This window comes from Homo sapiens, chromosome 1, assembly GCF_000001405.40.
Source record: "Homo sapiens chromosome 1, GRCh38.p14 Primary Assembly".
NCBI classification, from domain to species: Eukaryota; Metazoa; Chordata; class Mammalia; order Primates; family Hominidae; genus Homo; species Homo sapiens.
The window spans coordinates 173653864-173679355 of NC_000001.11; the positions used below are offsets into that span (position 1 = coordinate 173653864).

The following is a 25492-nucleotide window of genomic DNA, read 5'->3' on the forward strand; positions in this document are numbered from 1 at the left end:
CTTTTGATCTTTGTTGGTTTTAAGTCTGTTTTATAAGAGACTAGGATTGCAACCCTTGCTTTTTTTTTTTTTTTTTTTGCTTTCCATTTGCTTGGTAGATCTTCCTCCATCCCTTTATTTTGAGCATATGTGTGTCTCTGCACATGAGATGGGTCTCCTGAGTACAGCACACTGATGGGTCTTGACTCTTTATCCAATTTGCCAGTCAGTGTCTTTTAATTGCGGCATTTACATTTATGGTTAATATTGTTATGTGTGACTCTGATCCTGACATTATGATGTTAGCTGATTATTTTGCCTGTTAGTTGATGCAGTTTCTTCCTAGTATCAATGATCTTTATAACATGGCATGTTTTTTCAGTGGCTGGTACCAGTTGTTCCTTTCCATGTTTAGTGCTTCCTTCAGGAGCTCTTGTAAGGCAGGCCTGGTGGTGACAAAATCTCTCAGCATTTGCTTGTCTGTAAAGGATTTTATTTCTCCTTTACTTACGAAGCTTAGTTTGGCTGGATATGTAATTCTGGGTTGAAAATTCTTTTCTTTAAGAATGTTGAATATTGGCCCCCACTCTCTACTGGCTTATAGAGTTTCTGCCGAGAGATCAGCTGTTAGTCTGATGGGCTTCCCTTTGTGGGTAACCCAACCTTTCTCTCTGGCTGCACTTAACATTTTTTCCTTCATTTCAACCTTGGTGAATCTGACAATTATGTGTCTTGGGGTTGCCCTTCTTGAGGATTATCTTTGTGGTGTTCTCTGAATTTCCTAAATTTGAATGTTGGCCTGCCTTGCTAGGTTGGGGAAGTTCTCCTGGATAATATCCTGAAGAGTGTTTTCCAACTTGTTTCCATTCTCCCCATCACTTTCGGGTACACCAATCAAATGTAGATTTGGTCTCTCCACATAATCCCATATTTCTTAGAGGCTTTGTTCATTTCTTTTTACTCTTTTTCTCTAATTTTGTCCTCTCACTTTATTTCATTAATTTGATCTTCAATCGCTGATAACCTTTCTTCCACTTGATCGAATTGGCTACTGAAGCTTGTGCATGCATCACATAGTTCTCCTGCCATGATTTTCAGCTCCATCAGGTCATTTAATGTCTTCTCTACACTGTTTATTCTAGTTAGCCATTCGTCTAATCTTCTTTCAAGGTTTTTAGCTTCCTTGCGATGGGTTCAAACATCCTTCTTTAGCTCAGAGAAGTTTGTTTTTACTGACCTTCTGAAGCCAACTTCTGTCAACTCATCAAAGTCATTCTCCGTCCAGCTTTGTTCCGTTGCTGGTGAAGAGCTGTGATCCTTTGGAGAAGAGGTGCTCTTGTTTTTAGAATTTTCAGCTTTTCTGCTCGGTTTCTCCCCATATTTGTGGTTTTATCTACCTTTGGTGTTTGACGTTGGTGACCTACAGATGGGGTTTTGCTGTGGATGTCCTTTTTGTTGATGTTGATACTATTCCTTTCTGTTTGTTAGTTTTCCTTCTAACAGTCAGGTCCCTCAGCTGCAGGTCTGTTGGAGTTTGCTGGAGGTCCACTCCAGACCTGTTTGCTTGGGTATCACCAGCAGAGGCTGCAGAACAGCAAATATTGCAGAACAGCAAATATTGCTGCCTGATCCTTCCTCTGGAAGCTTCGTCCCAGAGGGGCACCCACCTGTATGAGGTGTCAGTCGGCCCCTACTGGGAGGTGTCTCCCAGTTAGGCTACATGGGGATCAGGAGGCAGTGTGTCCGTTCTCAGAGCTCAGACGCCATGCTGGGAGAACCACTGCTCTCTTCAGACCTGTCAGACGGGACATTTAATTCTGCAGAAGTTTCTGCTGCCTTTTGTTCAGCTATGCCCTGACCCCAGAGGTGGAGTCAACAGAGGCAGCAGGCCTTGCTGAGCTGTGGTGGGCTCCACCCAGTTCGAGCTTCCCTGGCTGCTTTGTTTACCTACTCAAGCCTCAGCAATGGCAGATGCCCCTCCCCCTGCCACGCTGCTGCCTCACAGGTCAATCTCAGACTGATGTGCTAGCAGTGAGCAAGGTTCTGTGGGCATGGGACCCGCCAAGCCAGGCACGGGATATAATCTCCTGGTGTGCCATTTGCTAAGACTGTTGTAAAAGCACAGTATTTAGGCAGGAATGTCCCGTTTTTCCAGGTACAGTGTATCATGGCTTCCCTTGGCTAGGAAAGGGAAATCCCCTGACCCCTTGTGCTTCCCATGTGAGGCGATGCCCTGCCCTGCTTTGGCTCACCCTCCACGGGCTGCACCCAATGTCCAACCAGTCCCAATGAGATGAACCAGGTACCTCAGTCGGAAATGCAGAAATCACCCGTCTTCTGCGTCGATCATGCTGGGATCTGCAGACTGGAGCTGTTCCTATTTGGCCATCTTGTAATGGACCCATGTCTTAAACCATTCTTTTGTCAGACTTATTCCTAGTTTCTTTATCATTTTGTTATGAATAAGATCTTTATTTGTATCACATTTTCTTGTTGTTCATGGTATATAGAAAGTTGCTGATTGGGATATTGGTCTTATGTTCATATTCTTCCTAAACTCTCTTAGCACTAATAGTAGATTCCCTTGAATTTAAGTCTATGTACCTATGAATAATCAGAGTTTTGTTTCTTATACTCTAATCTTTATATCCAGTAGTGTGCTGGTAAATGTATAACTAGTTATCTGGAGAAAAAAGCCCTGATTTGTATCATTAGCCAATTACTGTGATGTATGGCCCGACATGGCCAGTTTCAACAGCTATCAACATGACGTCAACCAATTCACAGAAACTCTGAAAATTTAACAATCAGTTCTTCAGAGCTCATAAAAGCTGGCTCTAGCACAATACTGTGTTATTTCTCTTACCCTTCTTACTGCTCTTGCTGGAACCTCTATTATAATGATAAATGGAAGCCATAATAACAAATATCTTAGTCTTATTTCTGATTATAAAGAATGCTTCTGAAAAATCCAATGTTGGGTAAGTTCGCTTTGGGTTTTTGATAGACAGCCTTAAGGAAAGTTTCTTCTATTCCTATTTCCCTAAGAGCTTTCATCACGAGCCAGATGCAGTGGCTCATGCCTGTAATCCCAGCACTTTGGGAGGCCGAAGGAAGAGCATTGCTTGAGCCCAGGAGGTAGGGAGGCTTGTCTCAAACTCCTGGGCTCAAGCTATGCTCCCACCTTGGCCTCCCATAGTGCTGGGATTACAGGTGTGAGCCACCACACCTGGCTCTAATGATTTTTTTTACATCTTAGGTTTTTTTCTGTGTTAATATTCTATGTTTTCAATTCCAAATATTATTTGTGCTGTCTCTCTCTGATTAATAGTATTAAAGCTCGGCTGGGCGCGGTGACTCACACCTATAATCCCAGCACTTTGGAAGGCCAAGGCAGGTGGATCACCTGGGGTCAGGATTTTGAGACCAGCCTGGCCAACGTGGCAAAACCCCCTCTCCACTAAAAAATACGAAAATTAGCCAGGCATGTTGGTGCATGCCTGTAATCCCAGCTACTCGGGAGGCTGAGGCAGGAGAATTGCTTGAACCCAGGAGGTGGAGGCTGTAGTGAGCCAACATTGTGCCACTGCACTCCAGCCTGGGTGACAGAACAAGACTCTGTCTCAAGAAAAAAAAAAAAGAGAACAACAAATATGTGTGTGTCTGTGTATGTGTATGTGTATAATCAAATGTTTTTCAACTCATTTTCAGTGAACCCAATTTTGGTATTATCAATCCTTTCCTTTCCATCTATTCTGTTTTCTATTTTCTTTCTTCTTCTTCTTTTTTTTTTTTTTTTTTTCAGCAACAGGGTCTTATCATGTCACCCAGGCTGTTCTTGAACTCCTGACCTCAAGCAATCCTCTTGCCTCGGCCTCCCAAAGTGCTGAGATTTTAAGTGTGAGCCTCTGCACCTGGCCTCTGGCCTATTTCTTTATTTTCAATGTCATTAATTTATTCAATTATTTTTCTTTTATTTTCTTTGGTTACTCAGTTGTTCTTTTTCTAATTTCTTCAGTCAAATGCTTTGTTTACTAAATTTTTTATGTTTCTTATATTCTAATATATGTATTATACTAGAATTTTAATTTTAGTTGTATCCCATGGGTTCAGACATAGAGTGATGCTGTTGTCACTTAAACATTTCATAATTTTCATTATATCTTCTGTGACCAATAGATGATTTAAAGTGTGTTCTTGGCTGGATGCATAGCTCACACCTGTAATCCCAGCACTTTGGGAGGCCAAGACAGGTGGGTCACTGGAGGTCAGGAGATCGAGACCAGCCTGGCCAACATGGTGAAACCCCGTCTCTACCAAAAAATACAAAAATTAGCCAGGCGTGGTGACCCATGCCTGTAGTCCCAGCTACTCAGGAAGCTAAGGTGTGAGAATCACTTGAACCTGGGAGGCGGAGGTTGCAGTGAGCTGAGATCATGCCATTACACTCCAGCCTGGGCGACAGAGTGAGACCCTGTCTCAAAAAATAAAAATGAAAATAAAAAATAAATGAAGTGTGTTCTTGTTTTCAGTTTTCAGTTACCTTTTTGTTACTACTTTTTAATTTTATTTTGTTGTAGTCACTGATCAAAGACTATATGCTATAGATACTTTGATAGTTGTTAAGACTTCCTTTATGGCTCAACATATGATCAATATTTTTTAAATGTTCCATGTGAGCATGAAGAGAATGTATATCCTTTCTTTGCTGAAGATCATGCTGATGATCTTTTTTTTATTTTCTACCATGACCACGTATTATATTTGCAATCTGAAAAAATAATTACTGAATTTAAAAAGCGACTTAGATAATGATTGCTAAAAAATTAATAAATCTTCAAAGGAAAGAGATAACAGTAAATTATTACACATTTACTATATATCAATTTACGATATGCCAAGCACTAAAATATTTATTTTATCCTATTTAATCCTCATTATACCCTATAAGGAAAATATAATTATTATCCCCATTTTGCAGATGGAAAAACAGATACACAAAAAGATCAGGTAACTTGCCAAGTCACACAGCTAATAAATAGTAAAGTCTATGTTCTAAAATACTATACTATGTAATATCAACATTGATACATTTACATGTATACACATACATACACCCATATAGATGTATATACACATATATGTAAAGTATAAAACAGGCACATCAAATATATCTAACCTTAAAGATATTACATTGCATCTTTAGGTAGTCATAAGTAATACTGATGAGAGAAAAAAGACAAAATACCTCTGGTGGTTTTTTCATTCAGATTCACACCATATTTTGCCAAAGCTCTAATCACGTCACTTTGCCCAGCCATGCAAGCTGCATACAACAAATTTCTCCCAACGATGTCTTCTTCTAAGAGAAGCTGCATGGCCTGTTCATGATGAGGATTCTCAGGATCCTCAAATATCTTCTGCAAACCCTCTACATCCCCTGTGAGAGCAGGTTGTAAAAGGGGGTTCTTAGGGCCTGTTTCCTCTGGTTCTTGGGCTTCTTCTTCTTCATTTTCCTCTTCTTGCTGTGAGAAAAATTCTGAACTCTCTGACTCTGGAGGTCCTTCTGACTCCATTAACTCCAAAAATACCTATGACCAAAAAAATAAAAAAGTGATAAAAATCTACTCAAACACATCAGTATTTGTTTATTTATTTGCTCAGTCAACTGACAATATAGATGGTATAAAAATACTTAACTATTTGAAAATAACTATAAAGTAAGATACTTCAGCAATTCCATCAATAAAGTTTATTGTGTACCTATTATGAGTAGGTACATATAACATAGCTCAAGTATATACTAAAATGTTAAATGTGTGAAATAAATAATAAATTCAATAGAAACAGGAGAAGAAAGAGATCATATGATCTAAATTCATTAGGAAGAGATTGAAAAAGAATGTCTAAGAGACCCACTTGCCTAAATAAGGGTCCTTGTATGAGAGAAGTGAGAAATATAATTGGGTTACTGGAGCCAGATTATGATTAAAAATTAGGCAACGACATTTAAACAGAATTCATTCAGTCAGTAACACATACTGAAAGCACTGTGTAAATTGTGAAAACCAGAATCAAATTTATTTCCTACCTTCAACAAGTTACTATTTCAAAGGAAAAAATATGAAGTGCACAAAATAAGTGTAATAAAAGGTGACAAGTAGTAATAATGCTATGGGAGAAATGCTATGGGAGTTTAGAAGCAATAAGATTAATTCCAGATAAAATTATTCAAGATGTTTCTTTTTTTTTCACAACAGACAGGAAATGTGCCCGTGTTGTAACAAGGTTTGAAGGAGGTACCTCTCACACATGAGCATGAAAACCCAATAATCACACCTATGAATTACAAAAGGATCTAACTAAGGATGTCTTAATGGTGCTTCAGTCTGTCAGAACACAGTATTAAACTGGGAAAGATTCAGAGAAGAGTACCAGAGTCCCTTCATTACGTACAAGAATGTTTGTGGCATCACTGTTCACAACAGCAAAAAACCCAGAAGGGAAAACCAATGTCCAAGAAGATGAGCATAAACTGGTATATTCACACAAAATGGTATATAACTGTTAAAAGAAATAAATTACAATGATATGCCATATGGTAGGCAAGTTCTGACAAGGCTCCCAATGTCCCACCCCTGCCTCCTGGTATTCATACCTTCGTGTAATTTCCTTACCTTGAATGTGGGCTGGACCTAGTGACTGGCTTCTAATGAAGAGAGTACAGCAATAATGAGGGGATGTAAATTCTGTAATTCAGTTACAACAGACTGTGATTTTGTCTTGCTGATATTCTCTCCCTGGCTCTTCTCATGCGCTGTGATGGAGAAGGCCACCTTTCAAGGAACTGAGGGTGATCTCTGTTCAACAGCCAGTAAGAATCAAAGCTCTTAATCCAATTCCATAAGGAACTTAATTCTGCCAGCAACCACTGAGTGAGCTTGGAAGTAGATCTGGCCCAGTTAACCTTGAGGTGACTATGGCCTCAGGCAACACCTTGATTATAGCCTCATGAGAAATCCTGAAGTAGAGGATCCAGCTAACCTGTGCCTAGATTCCTGACCCACAGAAACTGAGATAATGAATGAGTGTTGTTTTTAACCTAACAAGCTTAGGGCTCATTTGTCACACAGCAGTAAGTAAGACACAGAACAATATAAATGAATCTTACCAATATATCACATGAAAAATGTAAATCCAAAAGATTATATATATATATCTCAAGATGTATTTTTGTCAAGTGAAAAGCAATTAAACAGACTTTTTAGGAATACAAGTAGATGCAGTAACACTACACAGAAAAAAAAGACAAAAAGCAACATTGAACACAGATTCAAGATCATGTTTACCAGGGGTGAAGGGTAGTGGGAGAAGACAAGATGTGGGAAATGTGATAAAGGGAATTATATGTTTAGTAAAGAATATTAACATTTAAGCTGAGCCATCAAGAATGGGCAAGACTGTCATTCAGAAGTCAGAAAGAAGGAAATTCCAGATGGAATAACTAAGTTAAAGCACCAAAGCAAAGATCACAGGTATTTTTGGGAATGAGCATGTTGGCCAATTTGGTTAAGTATAGGCCATTCAAAATAAGCAAGAAGTCTGCTCTTAAAAAGAGGCTGGGATTGCATCAGCAAGTCTGAACTTGATTCTGTAGACAACTGGTAGAGCAAGGAGCAATTAAGGACAGTTAGCTGAAGGTTTTAGTGCTAGGAACTAAGTAGGTTTCAAGGAGATTGATCCGACAAGCCTGAGTGACATAGATTAGAGGAGTAAGAGACTAGAGGCAAAAAAGAAAAATCAATTAGACAGTTATTACAGAAATCTAAATTAGTGTGAATTGGGGCTTTAATTATTCACTCATATAATTCAGTGTTTACTGGATTCCTTCCTCTATGCCAGGCACTATGCTAGATCCTGAGGATTCAACAAGGTAGGAAAGATCCCTCCTATCATGAAGCATATATTCTGATTGGAAACAGGCAATAAAAAATAAAAAAAGTGATAATTTTAGATTGTTATAAGTGTTTCCAAGGAAATAAACATGGTGAAACACTAGGAAATAACAGGGAAGTGAAGAGAAAAAACTTGAAAAAGAACATTCAAGGTGATACTGAAGTAGGACTGCAGAGAATGACAAAGACTATGAAGGCCACAGGAAAATGGAACAGCATTCCAAAGCAGGGGTAAAAGGCCAGGGAGCAGATATTTTAGGCTTGTGGACCCTCTGTCTCTATTCTAACGACTCAACTCTGCAGTTGTTGCTTGAAAGTAGTTACAGACAATACACAAATGAATGGGTGTGGCTGTGTTTGAAGAAAACCTTATTTACAAAACAGGTGGTGGTCCACAGGCCATAGTTTTCTGACCCTGTTCTTAAGAAATAACAGTCCTAAAGAGTGCTGAAAGAAAAGAAAATTGTCATTTACTGCTATGGTGAAGTAAAGAAAATAAATAGGATAATAGTCGAAAGATCATTGTGATATGCATTTTAAATTGGTAGAATATTAGAAACTTCTCTATTACTACCCTACATTAATCCCTTCCTTCTGTAAATGTGTATAATGCTTGTAAGCTGTTAGGAATTCTTTGGCTGTAAATAATACAAAAGCCAAGTAAGACTGACTATTTAAAAGTAGGAGATTCTTTTCACACATAATGAGAAATTTAAAGATGGAGATGGTTCAGCAGCTCAAAAATATAGATCCAACCTCTTTCTATCACTCCATCATACTTAGTGTGTAAGACTTTCATCTTCACAACTCTTGCCTCATGTTATAACTCCTGAAATCTCATCTTAATTGATGGCAGGAAGAATGGGGAAATCACCTAGAGGATACCAGTGATATCAATCCTTCCAATCCCTCTTAAGGGGAAAGCAAAACAAAAATCTTTTCTAACAAGTCCCAACAAACTTCCAGTTATATCTCAAAGGCCAGACTGTACAATGCGGTGTGGCTACCCCATCTTTAAGAGGAGAGGGAGGAAAAAAAGCAAGTTTCTTGATTTTCCAGCCTCTGTGATAGAGGCAAGCAAGGTAGACAGGGATTGGAAATGGGAGTTGAGTTACCCAATCAACAATGACTCAACCATAAGATTTGGTGCATGTCTTGTATTTGAGATGGTTTAGTTCAACTCTTTCATTTTACAGAAGAATTACAGTGGAAACTTATAATTCTTCAGTGTCTGACATCCAACTCCCCACCCTTCCAACACACACACACACACACACACACACACACACACACACCTTCTTTAAAGCACTCCTATCTCAGTTTCAGAGAATTCTAATAAAAGATATAGCTAACTTCCCACACCGGAAGACTAAGAAGCAGGATTCTTCTTTTCTCTCTCTCAGCACAAGCCTGGGGGCAGGCACATTATTTAAGCTCAGCCCATCAGGGGATCTATCCTGCGATCTTGAATCTTGAACAAGGGACACAAGGAAATGAGGCTAGTTGAAGGGCACTCATCGCAAGTGACAGAAATAGTATGCTGATCAAACTGCCTGCTATGAGAACATACTGTGGTTCTTGTGGTCTGATCCTCCACAGTTCCCTTGGTTTCCTCATTTTCAGCCTCCCAGTAATTACTAGTTGTCTTCCCCAAAATCTCATCTCCTTTTCTTTTGGAATAGAACCCCACCCTCTCTTCTTTTGGAATAGAACCCCACCCTCTTTTCTTTTAACAAGGCTTTTTTCTAAACTGATCTTTATGGTGGAATAAGACTATTTTCCAATCTCTCTTGTAATATTGGTGTGGCCACATGTCCAAATAGTAAGCGATAAGATGTAATCAGATATATAGACTGCAAATTCCAGGAATGCTTAATTCCTTCCCACTGGATTTCAAGCATAATAGCTGGAGCCTGAAAGGATAATTTAGACCATGAGGTGGTTGTTCTCTTCAAATACGTATATATTATTTTATATCTTGTATAAATTATTTCTGTTATACGTAAATTAGTTTATGACATTTTAATTTTATATGTAAATATATGTAACTACTATCAATAGAGTATCCACATAATTTATTGTTCAGTAACAATGGACAATTTTATCCTGGATACATGGCATATATGGCTATATTTGTACATATATATTTCTTTTTAAAACAAAGCAATGTTTCTCTTTACTACAGGTAACATATCACTGTTTTTTGTCGCATTCTATTTTTTTAAAGCTGGGTGCCACCTACTAAACTGACTGTATGACCCACTAAATGGGATACAACCCACAGTGTGTAAAAACATGAGTCTTGAATAAGCACTATGGAGACTATACCAGGAAATCAACAAGAAGGACTCTAACAGAAGTTAAACAGCTTGTGTTTATGGTTAATAGCTTGGGTGACATATGTCCCAATGTATGCAGGACATTTCCCGTTATAGCTGTTTTCCTGGTATAATTTTTAATAGCATCTACTTTCACTCTCAAAAGTGTCTGTTATTATTAGACAATAATTTTGTCACTCTATTAATAGTAGTTGTAATCTTTTGAAACATTTCTGCTAAAGATATCCATATTCAAACCTTAGAGAATAGAGGCAGGATGTGTTTGGAATGCCTTTCACTGGAACACCAGGGTCCCAGCCATGAGACCTTGAAGATACTGAGAAATTCCTATTTTTGTTTCACAGGTATTCCTGCTATAAGACCTAGAATAGCTTTACATCTCCTACATTCCAACTACCCAAATCCTATTTAGGCCAAGCTATAAGCCCACTTTCTTCCTAAGCCTTTCCCTAATTCCTCTCTTGAGTGTACACTGGCCTTTCAATATTCTGAACTCCAAAGGTCATTATGTATAGTCTATACAATACAACTTACCAAATATGATATTATATTATTTCCTAATTGTTTCAAGTACGTAATCTATCCAATTAGGTTGTAAACTTGCTGGGTGCAGGAATCAAGCCTTACATTTCTTTGTGTTACTTTCAGACTTACCACAATTCTTAACAAGTCATATATATTCAATAACTCTTAAAGTCAAGCTTGCAATTCCCAGTGCTTTTTTTCATAGCCAAGAGCAATGGGTTTTGGAGTCAGAGAGACTTGGGTTCACAATCCAATCCCTCAATTTATTAGCTGCATAATACTGGGCAATTTACATACTCTTTTGTAGGAATAACACTAGAGCCTAGTCTATGATTGTTCTAAGAATTAAAATAAATTAGGTGATGTACATGCCAAGCACATGGGGAACATTTAGTAAATAGAAGCTACCATCATCATTATTAGGTCATCATCAAACCTCCAGCAAAATCATCCATGAAGCAAAAGAAAAGATGGTAATGCTACTTATTTTCTTTTTTAAAAAAATAAACAACAACAACAACAACAAAAAACTAGGTCTTGCTACATTGCACAGGCTGGTCTTGAACTCCTGGGCTCAAGCTATCCTCCTGCCCTGGATCCTAAGTAGCTGGGCTCACAATCCTCCTGCCTCCACCTCCCAAGTAGCTAGGACTATAGGCCCATGCCACCACACCCAGCTCTTCTTCTTTTTTAATATGCCATAGTTTATTCCTATGCAAGGTATGAATAAATAATTTTCTACCCTACCACCACCAGACACTTGATTACCAACATATTATTCCACATTTAGAGATCAGTCTGATCCCAGGTTAATTCAAAGATATGAAGACAAACTAGATCAAATCTTGAACTATGATTTGGTCCAGAATATTCAAAGCTACTCTTGTTATACCCTTGAATGGAGCTTAATTTCTATATCAGCCCAGAACCAACATAATTAGGGCAGTGGTTCTCAAATTCTTTGATCTCAGGGCTCTTTACAGTCTTAAAAATTGAGAACCCCAGGGAATTTTTGTTTATATGAGTTATATCTAAATTAATATTTATATTGGAAATTAAAACTGAGGCCAGGTACAGTGGCTCACACCTGTAATCCCAGCAGTTTGGGGGACTGAGGTGAGTGGATCACTTGAGTTCAGGAGTTCGAGACCAGCTTGGGCAACACAGCGAAACCCCATCTCTACAAAAAATACAGAAAAAAAAATAGCTGAGCATGGGGGCACATGCCTGTGGTCCCAGCTACTTGGGAGGTGGAGGTGAGAGAATCGCTTGAGCTCAGGAGGCAGAGGTTGCAGTGAGCTATGATCACGCCACTGCACTCCAGCCTGGATGACTGAGCAAGACCCTGTCTCCAAAAAACAACAACAAAAAAACCACAAATAAAGTACGTATTAATTCATCTTAAACACATTACTTGTTAACGAAAAAATAGTTTATGAAAAATAACTAGGCCTGAATACAACAAAAGATTAAGTAAGGGAGAATTCACTCTGCCTAATTTCAAGCTGGGCATCTACCTTCAGGCTCAGGCTGGGACTAGAACTTATACTATCAGCTTTCCTGTTTCTCAGGCCCTCAGACCTGGATTGGAACTACACAAATGGCTCTCCTGGATCTCCAGCTTGCTGAATGCAGATCTTGACATTTCTCAGCCTCCATAATCACATGAACCAATTCCTTATAATAAATTATTCTATATTTATTCATATATACAGTTGTCCCTCAGTATTCATGGGGGGATTGATTCAGGAACCCTCCACCCCTGTAGATACCAAAATCCATGGATGTTCAAGTGCCTTATATAAAATGGTGTAGTATTTGCATATAACCTACACACATCTTCCCATATATGTTAAATCTAGATTACTTATAATACCTAATACGATGTAAATGCTATGTAAATAGTTGTTATACTGTATTGCTTAGGGAATAATGACAAGAGAAAAAGTCTGTATACGTTTAGTACAAACACAACCATCCATGTTTTTTCAAAAAATTTTAGATCCAAGGCTGGTTTAATCCGCAGATACAGAGGACTATATATATTGTATTGATTCTGTTTCTCTGAAGAACTCTAACACAAATAGCATTTAAAAAAAATTTTTTTTTTAGACAAGATCTCACTCTGTCACCCAAGCTGAAGTGCAGTGATGCCATCACGACTCACTACAGCCTGAACTCCTGGGCTCAAGCAATCCTCCCAACTCAGCCTTCTGAGTAGCTGTGACTATAGATGTGTGCCATCACACCAGGCTAATTTTTTAATTTTTCTGTAGAGACAGGGGGTCTGGCTATGTTGCCCATGCTGGTCTCAACCTCAAGTGATCCTCCCACCTCAGCCTCCCAAAATGCTGAGATTACAAGTGTGAGCCACCGTGCCCAGCTGCAATTTGCATTTTAGAAAACTCATACTGGCCATGTGTTGGCCAACGACTTCCCAATACTTTTATGATGAGATCAGAGATGATATTAATGAAAGTGGGCTTTTAAAAATATTACAGCATGAAACATGTTAACATTTGGAAAACTGGTATAACTAAATGAAGCAACATTTTGCTTGATTTGAATGACTGCTTTTCTTCTTTACAAAATCAGCTTCACTCCCCCTGCCATTTTCCATTATGTTACAATATCAAGCATGGGTAAAAGATCCAAAGTATAAGACAGATCAATAGATTTTAATGTAACACAGTATGAAACGTTCATTGACATGGCTTCAGATTCCACACTGCAACCAGCCTTTAAGAAACTACCACTTGTGGCCAGGAGCAGTGGCTCACACCTGTAATCACAGCATACTGGGAGGCTGAGGTGGGCGGATCACAAGGTCAGGAGTTCAAGACCAGCCTGGCCAATATGGTGAAACCCCGTCTCTACTAAAAACACACAAAAAAATTAGTCGGGCATAGTGGCAGGCGCCTGTAGTCCCAGCCACTCAGGAGGCTGAGGCAGGAGAATCACTGGAACCCAGGAGGCAGAGGTTGCAGTGAGCTAAGATCACCCCACTGCACTCCAGCCTGGCACAACAGAATGAGACCCCATCTTAAAAAAAAAAAGAAAGAAAAAGAAACTACCACTTGCAGAGTTTTGGTGCAGTCACAAAAATGTGCACAATTATCTGAAAAAGCTATTAAAATACTCTTCCCTTTTCCAACTATATATCTATGTAAGGAGGAATTTTCTTTACATATTTCAAAACAACATATTGCAACGGATAGACTGCAGAAGCAGACATAAGAATCTGTCTCCCATTAAGCCAGAAATTAAAGACATTTGCAGAAATGTAAAATAATGCCACTTTCTAACTAATTCTTTTGTTCTGGAAAATATTTTTATGAGAAATATATAATTATGTTACATGTGAATTTATTTTTTAAGGAATTAATAAACATTTTTTAAATCCTCAGTTTAATTTCTAATTCTTACAACATATGTAATACTATATTAAAAGACATAACTCACATAAAGGAAAGCTCTTCGGGATCATTTCTTAAGAGTAAAATGGAGTCCTGAGACAACAAAGTTTGAGAGCACTGCCTTAGGATATACATGAGACCTAGAAATAGGAAAGTCTTGCAGGATGCTTGCCCTACTCAATTGCTATAGCAGGGCAAGGAGGCTTTGCAGGGAGGGAGGGCTGTGGTGCAAACCACTCCAGTCAGGGCTGAAGGGAAGTCACAGCAGGAACTCAGCGCAATTGAGTGAGCCAGGGAGCTCAACCGAGTCCTGACAAAACCAGGAGATACCTGTTCACAAGGTATATAAGCCAAAGGTTAAAACCAAGAAAGCCATAGGGCAGGGAGCACTCGGTATACCAGGAACATCACCCCCCAGAGCCAAGGGAAGGCAAAGGGACCCTGACCCGTCCCCATAACTGATTCCGTGAGCCATCCACATAGCCAGGGCACCATCTCAAGGAAAGAATCCAAGAAGATACCTGATAACCTAAATATTTGTATATAAGAGAAATTAAACACTAGCCAAAGAAATCAATTCTAGATTGAGCTAAACTTTAAAACCAATCGGACATTTAGATTCTTTCCTAATAATCAATAAGTAAATGCTCATGAAAGGAACCAGATCAGTCATATACAAAAATAAATTACATTTTCTTTGCCCACAAAAGTAATAACATACATCAAAATTGTAACCTTGCTACATATAACTGAAGTTTCACAGAGAATATGAGCATTGGAGGGAAGAGGGAAGGCTGGAACTATGAAGGCAGAATGGCATTGCTTTAGTCTTGATTCTGTTACTAATTATGTGACTTTTCTGAAATGAGGATAGCACCTGGTCTGCCTTACTAAATAAGTGTAGAAAAATCTATAAACTTTTCTTTTTAACTATAGAATGTGATTGCTTTCGAGCCACCCACAATAGAAAATCACATAGGTCATAGCACCTACCCCATAGGCTCTCACATTTTGGTAGGGAAGACACAAGTAAATCAGCAATGACAGAGTGAGATCAGGGATTCAATGGAGGTAGGTAGAGTGCTTTGAAAGTAAAACCGTGGACATCTACATTCAATTCTGGGTGGCGGTCTCAGAAAGTTTTCCCAGAAGAGGTGAAACCTCGATAGTGAAGAGTAGGAGTCTTAAAAGGAGGAAAAAAGGACAATCCAGGTAACGGGAAGAGCATAAACAAAGGGCAAGGAGGCAGGCGACGCAGCCTGAAGTTGTGATAGAGGAGTAGATCCTAATGTGCCTTTTAAGCCAACTGATTTTTTTCTTCAAAAAAAAAAAAAAAGTAGTCGCTTAATCAAGTCCCAGCTCAAGGAGAAGGACCCCAAGGGCAACCCTGGGCACACAGAGTTAAACAAAGAGAAGGCCTGAGGAACAGGATACAGAAAGTGGCAGCGCCGCCAGGTGATCCAGGAGGTCCCGCGAGGGGGCAACGGACACTTCAGGGCACCAGAGTTTGCTCTTCGGCCTGAATTCCCTAGGGACCTTCTGCGATCCCTTGCGGCTGCCGGCGGGGTAGGAGACCGGTGCGCAAAGCTCTGGACAGAAGCAGTGTGAGGACGCTGAGATTGAAGCCCACTCCCCTCCAGCCCTGCCCGAGCAGCCTGGAGGGAAGATGTCCGTCTACCCCATCGCACTCCTCCCCAAGTGCCCACCCCGGCCCACAGCGCCAGGACCCCTAGACTCACCACACCCGGGCCCCGGCCTCCTCGGTTACCATAGCAACGGCGCAACACGCGAGGCAGCGCCTCCTCCTGCGCCGCGGTTCCGGCAGCGCGGGAAGGTTATTCTTGGTTGCAAAGGCGCAGGAAGCCAGAGTGGAAAACAGCCAGGAATTATCTATAATTTCAGTCTCTGGGTGGCGTGTCGGTTTTTTCTTTGTTTTGTAAATTTTCTGTAATAAGGTATTTGTTTTACAGTTTAAAAATAAGTTGTGCATATTGGTTGTTGGCCTGTCTTTGGCTTTTAAACGAAAGAATTTTCTGGAAATATGAGGTTGCATTCTAAAAACTACAAAAGATTGTATGAATAACCCCTTGCTTAATTTTCTAGTTATTGGATATCTTTCTCCCATGGTTTATGGTCATTGTCACCAGCAAGGAGTGTTTCAGGCGACCTCACAAGTGCCAACTACCTTAGGAGCAGAAGAAACTTGGAGACTATATCCCTCTTGATTCAGAAATTCAAGATGCAAAACACAACTTTAAAAGGGGGGAAGCGATGGAGGTGGAGGGACAAGGGGTTCGAAAGAAACCAGCAGGGAAGGGCCAGGCATACCTAGCAATTATATCAATGTTCACATGAATCACACAGTGAAAACAGGGAAGTTTTTGTGCTGAAGGCAGGTGTGAAGGAAAATATTCATTTCTTTACTGTTTCTACCAAGAGTCCACTAAGGAGTAAGTGAATGTTTTAGAGGGGCTCTGAACATCTGTGCTGAAGTTCGAATAGCCTAGTTCTGAAATGAATATTTGACCTAAGGCCCAAGCAAAATTTCACCATTGTTACAGTAGGTAGTCAGGCATGAGCAGAGCAGGCTCCCCTATCCCCCACCAGGAATGTCAGGCGACCATCAGGTGATAGGCAGTTGTTAACTGTCTCTCTAAAATAATAATTGGTTGCAGCCAATGCCAGGAAAAGGCACTCTCCGAATAGATAGAAAACATCTGAAACTGGTTATCAGCAGCTTCCCCATAAGAGCTCAGGAGTTAGGTGATGTGAGAAACACACTCACCTGTCCAAACCCAAAGAATGGACTTAGAGGCATGAAGAACAGCAAAAGAGACACTTTTTAATAACGGTCTTGCAAGATCGGGTGTCTGGTGAGCAGGAACACCCAGTGCAGTTTCAACAAGGAATTTATCACCTAGTGTGCAAGTCCCTACCCTGGTTCCTCATAGGCTGAGTACTATGGGGTTACAGTCTTCCCCAACGTTGCCTAAGTTTCATTATCCCCTTATAAGGTTACATCTTGTCTCCTTCCCCACTTTAAGTTTTGATTTCCCAATGACAAAACTTTCTTTCCTTTTATGGATTAGCCACCCCACCCCCTATTTTTTTTTCTCCCTCCCCTCTGACTTCTGTGAGTCTTATCACTCTTCCCAGATGTCTGTAGCATGCGGCTTGTCACATCTGCAAGGGAGCTGCCTGGATTTGCCGGGGCCTGTTTTCTGAAAAATGGACCACTTAAAAAGTACTTCTTACAGGTGAGTGGGCTCAAGGATACACATTAAGAGTCAAAATGGTGGAGTTTAACTGGTATATGACCTTCTTGGGTACATTCAATTGGTAAGAGAAGAATGCCTCAAGTGTCATGCATAGAACTGCAGTAAACACACTGCACGTGCTCCTCTCCCAAGTGCTAGCAGGCCACTGCACATGTGGATAGCCCATCCCAAGAGAAGAATCAGGGGAGAAGGGACGCAAGACCCTAGAAGTATGCCACCATATAAAACCCTAAGGCCGGGCACGGTGGCTCATGCCTGTAATCCCAGCATTTTGGGAGGCCAAGGCGGGCGGATCATGAAGTCAGGAGACCAAGACCATCCTGGCTAACACAGTGAAACCCCGTCTCTACTAAAAAATACCAAAAAAAAAAAAAAAATTAGCCAGGCGTGGTGGTATGCGCCTGTAGTCCCAGCTCCTTGGGAGGATGAGGCAGGAGAATCACGTAAACCCGGGAGGCGGAGGTTACAGTGAGCCGAGATCGCACCACTGCCCTCCAGCATGGGTGACAGAGCAAGACTCCGTCTCAAAAAAAAAAAAAAAAGAAACCCTAAGTCAAAAGTCAAACTGGACTTGATCTCTCAAAGTCACCCACTTGGCCCTTTCCAAGTGTACATTACTTCCTTTCATTCCTGCCCAAAAGCTTTTTAATAAACTTACACTCCTGCTCTAAAACTTGCCTCGGTCTCTTCTTCTGCCTAATGCCCCTCAGATTCTTTCTTCTGAGGCAAGAATTAAGGCGGCTGCAGACCCATACAGATTCACCACCAGTAACACCATCATAAATCTGAACTTTTGAAATACAAGAATAAATTTGAATTTTTTCAAATGTAATTATTAATTTTTCATGTTCAAATAAGTTGTGGTAATCAAAATTTTAGAGTTTTACATTATAGAGAGGAACAATAATCTGTCAGTTGGAAGCTTGCTCCTGCAGTCACTATACAACACATTTGCTCTACTCAACAATCATTTCTTACTGAAGGTGATGAAGAGCAAGGCTAATTTTAGGCATTTCAGTTTTAACATGCTATTTTTCATAGTCTTTGTTTTTTAATATCTGGATGGAAGATGACTTATGATGCATAACTGTACAAAACTGTACATGATTCTGTTTTTCATTAATCTTCAGGGGATATGAAGAATTCCCAAATAGAACTGTTTCTTGAATGTCTGAAGTGGAATTAAACAACTAAAAATTAAATAGAACTTTTAAAGATTATTTTTTAGTGCTCTGAATGCTAATATTAGAAAGGTAGTAAGACACAATAGGTTTGAGACCTAAAAGCAAAGATGCCGTGAGCTCCACTTGAACTCCAGGTCAGAAACAGCTGCGTGATGCACCTAGGCAGACCAGGTTAGAAACAGACAGGAGATTCATGGCAAGAGTGTGGCCTAGATGCAGCAGAAAGACTCCCATGACACCCTCTCTTAGCCACACCCCCTGCAAGCTTGACCTGAGAGTATTGGAAAGAGCCACTGGATTTGAAGGGGCCGAGTGCCCATGTGTAAGACACATCTCAGCAATAACCTGTGGGTATTAATGATGGAGGTCCAGATAAGACAGTGAAGGCCTGGTGAACAGACAGCTTAAGCAGCAAATGATTAAGCACTATTCAAACCCCCCAGAAATTAGATCCCCTCCAGAAAATTATGGTAGGTGAGAGGTTTCCAAAACTATTGAAACTAGTTTTTTCCAACATAAGAGAATAGGCCCTCAGAATAGAAATTATTGTATAAAAAACTACATTTCTATACTTTTTTTTTTTTTTTTTGAGATGGAGTCTTCTTCTGTCACCCAGGCTGGAGTGCAGTGGTGTCATCTCGGCTCACTGCAACCTCCGCCTCTTGGGTTCAAGTGATTCTCCGGCCTCAGCCTCCCAAGTAGCTGGGATTACAGGCACACATCACCACGCCTTGCTAATTTTTGTAATTTTTTAGTAGAGATGGGGTTACACCATGTTGGGCAGGCTGGTCTCGAACTCATGATATCAGGTGATCCACCCGCCTTGGCTTCCCAAAGTGCTAGGATTACAGGCATGAACCACCACACCCTGCCATATTTCTATACTTCATAGACTGAGTCATGTCCGTTGTACAATGTCAATTTCTGATGAAAAACCTGGATCAACTAGTTGAAAAATTTACTCCAAGGTAACTTAATGTGCTACATCTTGTTGTTTGAAAGCCTATTATATGCTGAGTACTGTGTTAAGTGATTCATATAAATTATCTCTAATCCTTATAGCAACTCTATAAGTTGCTATAAGAAAGTGATATTATTCTTGAAACCGACACTTCAGAAGGTTGAGTCACCTACCTAAGACCACACAGCTAATAGGGCCAAACCAGGATTTGTACCTAGGTCAGTCTGGTTTAAAACACCAGAGGACTGCTACTTGTTAGCTATATGCTAATTAAATATTAGAGAAAATCTGCCAAAAATAACAACTTTATTTCAAAATAATTTGCCTTGAGTCTTTCTGGCAATAATTAGATAATATTAAAGCCACTCCCCTGGTGTGTAACTAAAGAATTATTTCTCCATGTAGCTAATCTCTACAGTTGAGGAGAATGAAATAGTGAACACCCATGGTTTTCACCTGCTGGTCCCTCCTTTTCTGGTTAGTGAACTCCCATTTTCTGTGAGGGAACCTTTCTTTTCTTTTTCTAGATATAGCATCTTACTCTGTCACCCAGGCTGGAGTGCAGTGGTGTGATCACGGCCCACTGTAGCCTCATTCTCCCCAGGCTTAGGTGATCCTGCCACCTCAGCCTCCCAAATAGCTGGGACTACAGGCACCCACCACCATGCCCAGCTAATTTTTTTTTGTATTTTTTGTAGAGACAGGGTTTTGCCATGTTGCCCAGGCTGGTTTCCAACTCTTAGCCTTAAGTGATCCTCCTGCCTCAGCCTCCCAAAGGGCTGGGATTACAGGCACGAGCCACTGCACTCGGCCCACCTTCATGGTTCTTTTGGGATGGGGATATTTTTGGCTTTTTTTTTTTCCACATTCACCATGCTTTTGTGAACCTCAAAAATCTGAGACAGGTATCAGTTGATTTGGAAAGTTTATTTTGCCAAAGTTGAGGATGCACGCCCATGACACAGCCTCAGGAGGTCCTGATAACATGTGCCCAAGGTGGTTAGAGCAGTCCCCAAGGTGGTTAGAGCAGTTTGGTTTTATACGTTTTAAGAAGACATGAGACATTAATCAGCATATGTGAGATGAACATTGGTTCAGTCTGGAAAGGTGGGACAACTCGAAGCAGGGGGGTTAGAAGTAGGGGGTGCTTCCAGGTCACAGATACATAAGAGACAAATGGTTGCATTCTGATTAGTCTCTCCAAAGGAGGCAATCAGATATGCATTTATCTCAGTGAGCAGAGGGGTGACTTTGAATAGAATGGGAGGCAGATTTGCCCTAAGCAGTTCCCAGCTTGACTTTTCCCTTTAGCTTAGTGATTTTAGGGACCCAAGACATTTTCTTTTCACATTTCCCCACTTTTTAAAAATTTTTTGGAGAAAGCATATTAAAAGAAATGAGTCTCTGGTCTCAGGTTTTGTCTGATCTCTTATGGCTAGGATGGTTTATTCCTAGACTGGTAGGTCCCAAGTTATTAGGAAAGCTCATTTTTAGAAGGTTGTAAAGTCTTATGTCCTATGAAGAGAAAATAAGGGAAGGAAGGAGGAAAAACAACAACAAACAAAAGAACGATCCTGGAAAATCAATATAGGCCATATTGCTCTGAAGTCCATATATTAGTAGGCAGGTATGAAAGTGGCTTATGTACGTAAATAGGTTGCTATTATTTTCCTCTAAAGTTTAAGTTATTTAGCTTCAGTTCGCAGGGCTTTAAAAAAAAGTATAGCTTAGTTTTCAGTGACTCCAAATTAGGAAAAATGGAGAAAAAAGAAGGAAAAAAAATTGAAAACATTATTTTGCAGGCATGTAGCCAAGAAAAATTAGAATTCAGGCCAGTCACGGTGGCTCATGTCTGTAATCCCAGCACTTTGGGAGGCCGAGGCAGGTGGATCACCTGAGGTCAGGAGTCTGAGACCAGCTTGGCCAACATGGCAAAACCCCGTATCTACTAAACATACAAAAAACTAGCTAGGCATGCTGGCAGGTGCCTGTAATCCCAGCTACTTAGGAGGCTGAGGCAGGAGAATTGCTTGAACCCAGGGGGTAGAGGTTGCTGTGAGCCAAGATCATGTGACTACACTCCAGCCTGGGGAACAGAGGGAGACTCTGTCTCAAAAAGAAAAAAGAAAAAATAGAATTAGAATTCAGTCCAAACTGTAGAAAATAATAAAAATTGAAAAACAATAGGCAAGACTAGAATCTAACAACGGGTGTACTATAGTTTTTTAAACATAATTTTTCTTTATCCAGTTTCCCATTTTTATTAAAGACAAATCATGGTAAGACTGATTTGCTTTATTACACTTCACCTGATTATTTGTATACAATGTATCAAGAATAATTTTATTTTACATAGGCATTTAAATTGGCTTTGATGGAACTTTAGTCCATAGAAGGAATCTCAGATATGACTTTTTTAAAGCCAAGCCCAGCCATGGATTTGTACCATCAAATACCTATGAGTTGTGAATTCCTCTCCTCTCAATGTTCCAAGATAAACTTGGGGCTCTTGGGTCTGTCAGAAAGTGACATTCTTTACCTACCACAGGTCAGGAACCCTGTAAAGGGACTGTGTAGAAAAAGGTACGAGGCCAATTTTTCCAAGGGGCTTTTATTGGCTCCATAAGTCAAGTTTGATTCCTTAAATGAAAGCACACCATTTTAGTCAAAGCCTTGGTAAAATAACCAGTTTCTCCAATTGTGTCCTGTTAAAAATGAAGAAAGATTCTTATTGCACTTATGCAAATAATTGTATTGTCATAAGAATACTCACAAATAGTTTCCAAATTCTGTAGAAATCAGGTAGACAGAAACACATATGCTCCAACTTTTGTTCATAGGAGTACACTTAACTGTTAAAAGCTGTAAATAGCTTAAAAGTTTTCTTGACTCTGAAAAACAAAGGATCAGCAACGTTTTAAACAAAAAGTTAAAAAGATTACTTTAAACTTCTATTAGTTTAGTCCCTGCGGTTAATTCCTGTTCTGCTTGATAGTCATAAACATTTCAGCTCTTCATGAGTCCTGAAAGTTTTTCCTCTGTTCAAATGTTACAATCTCCAAAGTAATCAGAAACCTGCATTCAAGGGCACCTGTTAGAGTTTATAGCTGATTATAAAACCACCTTTTAAAGAGGACCAAAATAAGACAACAATCATTCATGGATGACAAAAAGTTTTAGGGCAGCCATAAAGATACAATTGACAAGGAAATTTGTTACCTTATGGCACACAATAATTTACCATAAAAATTATAATTATTACTGATAACATACACTAATTCATATTAGAATTATAGGAGTTTTCCACCTGGGTGACAGGGTGAGACTCCATCTCAAAAAAAAAAAAAAAAAAAGAATTATAGGAGTTTCCCATAATTTTTGAACACATGCCAATAACATCTTTATACAAATACAGCCCAAAGAAAACCAAACACCATTTCATGTTTGACAATGCTTCCTATATAATTTTTATACCAAATAAGCCAAATATGTCATTTTTGGACTTTAAGGAACCGGGAATATCTTAAAGGATTAATTAGGTCAGAAAAAGACATAATTTATAATTTGATTTTGGAAAGTTTGTCAAATATCAAAACTTTAAAACACTTGATATTACAAAATAGGATCACAGGTCATTGTAAAATAAGTCATTCATTTAACCAAAGTGATAACTGAAGGATTTTAAAAAAAAAAAGGTGCAAAACTTTTATTTTGAGAGAGGAAACAATTTTCCAAACAATAAACCCTAATAAAAACAACATGAAGTCAATTAAATTTGTTTTTCAAATTTTTATAAATATATAAAATTTTAATCTTGATCATAAGCTATAACTTCCATAAGCCTTTTATAATCTTTATTAATGTTTTGGTTAATGCTTAAAAAACAAACCATATTAATCTGACACAGGGGCTCATATGCTGGTCTTGCATCAGTGTGCCATTGATATTAATGGTTAATTTATAGAGAAACTGTACTTATTTTATGTCTTAAAATGGGCCCTTACAATCTCACACACCCACCTCTTCCTCAATAGTCCCTGGACCTTGAGGAGTTGAATGGTGTTAATTTCTGGCCCTCTGTCTCAGGAATGCAGTTTATTTTGATTGGCATCCTCTATGGGGCCTGAAGATGAGGATTTAACTGCTGTCAGTGTTTAAGACTTAGCAGGGCTTTGTGTCCATTTTAGACCCAGGAGTCAAATCCCTGTAACTTAGTGTTACAAGTACTTTAAAAGCACATACAGAAAGATACACGGATGTAATAACCTTAATTTTAAAAAAAAACAATTATCAGGTTTTTTTCCTAAGCAAAGTAAAACTTAATAATAATGGCATAGGAATTATTTCAATAAGACGTAAAATCTGTGAGGCCAGTTACCAAAAGGCAAAAGAAAAGACCTTCTGCAGTGTACAGGATATTATGTTGGAAGAAAACATTTCCTTTAGACCTTTAAGAAAATATTGTTAGCACCAGGCCACAACAAACAGAACTGTGGGGAAAAATAACTTAACTGAGCTGAACATGAGTTGAAAGAGAGCTTTATTATTTCATACCTTTTAAAGGGGGAGAAAAAAACAAAAATGGTGAAACCAAAAAAAGTCCAGGACAACACAGATTCACAGTCAAATACTACCAGACGTACAAAGAGGAACTGGTACCATTCCTTCTGAAACTATTCCAAACAATAGAAAATAGAATCCTCCCTAACTCATTTTATGAGCATCATCCTGATACAAAAACCTGGCAGAGACAAAACAAAAAAAGAAAATTTTAGGCCAATATCCCTGATGAACATCGATGCAAAAATCCTCAATAAAGTACTGGCAAAGCGAATGAAGCAGCACATCAGAAAGCTTATCTACCATGATCAAGTCAGCTTTATCCCTGGGATGCAAGCCTGGTTCAACATACGCAAATCATTAAACAGAATCCATCACATAAACAGAACCAATGACAAAACCCACATGATTATCTCAATAGAGATAAAAATGGCATGCAACAAAATTCAACAGCACTTTATGCTAAAAACTCTCAATAAACTAGGTGTTGATGGAAGGTATCTCAAAATAATAAGAGCTATTTATGACAAACCTACAGCCAATATCATACTGAATGGTCAAAAACTGGAAGCATTCCCTTTGAAAACTGGTGCAAGACAAAACTGGCACACACCATTTCAACATAGTATTGGAAGTTCTGGCCAGGGCAATCAGGCAAGAGAAAGAAATAAAGTGTATTCAATTAGAAAAAGAGGGAGTCAAATTGTCTCTGTTTGCAGATGACATGATTGTATATTTAGAAAACCCAACTATATCAGCCCCAAATCTCCTTAACCTGATAAGCAACTTCAGCAAAGTCTCAGGATACAAAGTCAATGTGCAAAAATCACAAGCATTTCTATACATCAATAACAGAGAGCCAAATCATGAGTGAACTTGCATTCACTATTGCTACAAAGAAAATAAAATACGTAGGAATCAAAATTACAACAGGTGTGAAGGACCTCTTCAAGGAGAACTACAAACCACTGCTCAACAAAATAAGAGGACACAAACAAATGGAAAAACATTCCATGCTCATAGATAGAAAGAATCAATATCGTGAAAATGGCCATACTGCCCAAAGTAATTTATAGATTCAATGCTATCCCCATCAAGCTACCATTGACTTTCTTCACAGAATTGGAAAAAACTACTTTAAAGTTCATATGGAACCAAAAAACAGCCCACATAGCCAAGACAGTCCTAAGCAAAAAGAACAAAGCTGGAAGCATCATGCTACCTGACTTCAAACTATACTACAAGGCTACAGTAAGCAAAACAGCATGGTACTGGTACCAGAACAGATATATAGA

General features: G+C 39.3%; 1 protein-coding gene, 1 long non-coding RNA gene and 1 other non-coding gene across 12 annotated transcripts in view, besides 1 other annotated feature; 1 reads left to right on the forward strand and 2 right to left on the reverse strand.

Moving 5' to 3' along the window:
* Positions 1–25492, reverse strand: part of ANKRD45 (ankyrin repeat domain 45) — a 106850-nt gene that overhangs the window by 45528 nt on the left and 35830 nt on the right. For 3 of the 8 annotated variants that reach the window (XM_017001123.2, XM_047419195.1, XM_047419206.1), the window contains 2 exons: positions 22411–22528; positions 5228–5570 (listed from right to left, as the gene is read on the reverse strand). In XM_017001123.2, the coding sequence (XP_016856612.1) occupies positions 5228–5570; positions 22411–22455 (388 nt within the window). In that variant the 5' untranslated portion in view covers positions 22456–22528. Of the gene's footprint in view, positions 1–5227; positions 5571–6656; positions 6689–14260; positions 14545–15207; positions 15989–22410; positions 22529–25492 lie in introns of those variants that run through there. The other 5 variants (NR_158771.1, NM_198493.3, XM_024446627.2 and 2 more) reach the window with 4 other exon arrangements.
* The window catches only part of LOC105371619 (uncharacterized), a 44005-nt gene that overhangs the window by 16159 nt on the left and 2354 nt on the right, over positions 1–25492 (forward strand). For 2 of the 3 annotated variants that reach the window (XR_007066737.1, XR_922291.4), the window contains one exon: positions 17371–17471. This is a non-coding gene — a long non-coding RNA (uncharacterized LOC105371619). Of the gene's footprint in view, positions 1–6239; positions 8452–17370; positions 17472–25492 lie in introns of those variants that run through there. The other variant, XR_007066736.1, reaches the window with a different exon arrangement.
* Positions 6234–6337, reverse strand: LOC124904822 (small nucleolar RNA U13). The gene has a single exon (XR_007067418.1). It is a non-coding gene; the product is annotated as a small nucleolar RNA U13 (small nucleolar RNA).
* Positions 17033–17616: a transcriptional cis regulatory region, noted in NCBI's record as "candidate enhancer chr1.9913 targeted for multiplex CRISPR interference". NCBI's record gives its function as "positively regulates ANKRD45 gene expression in K562 cells {active_cell/tissue: K562}" and the evidence as "EXISTENCE:mutant phenotype evidence [ECO:0000015][PMID:30612741]".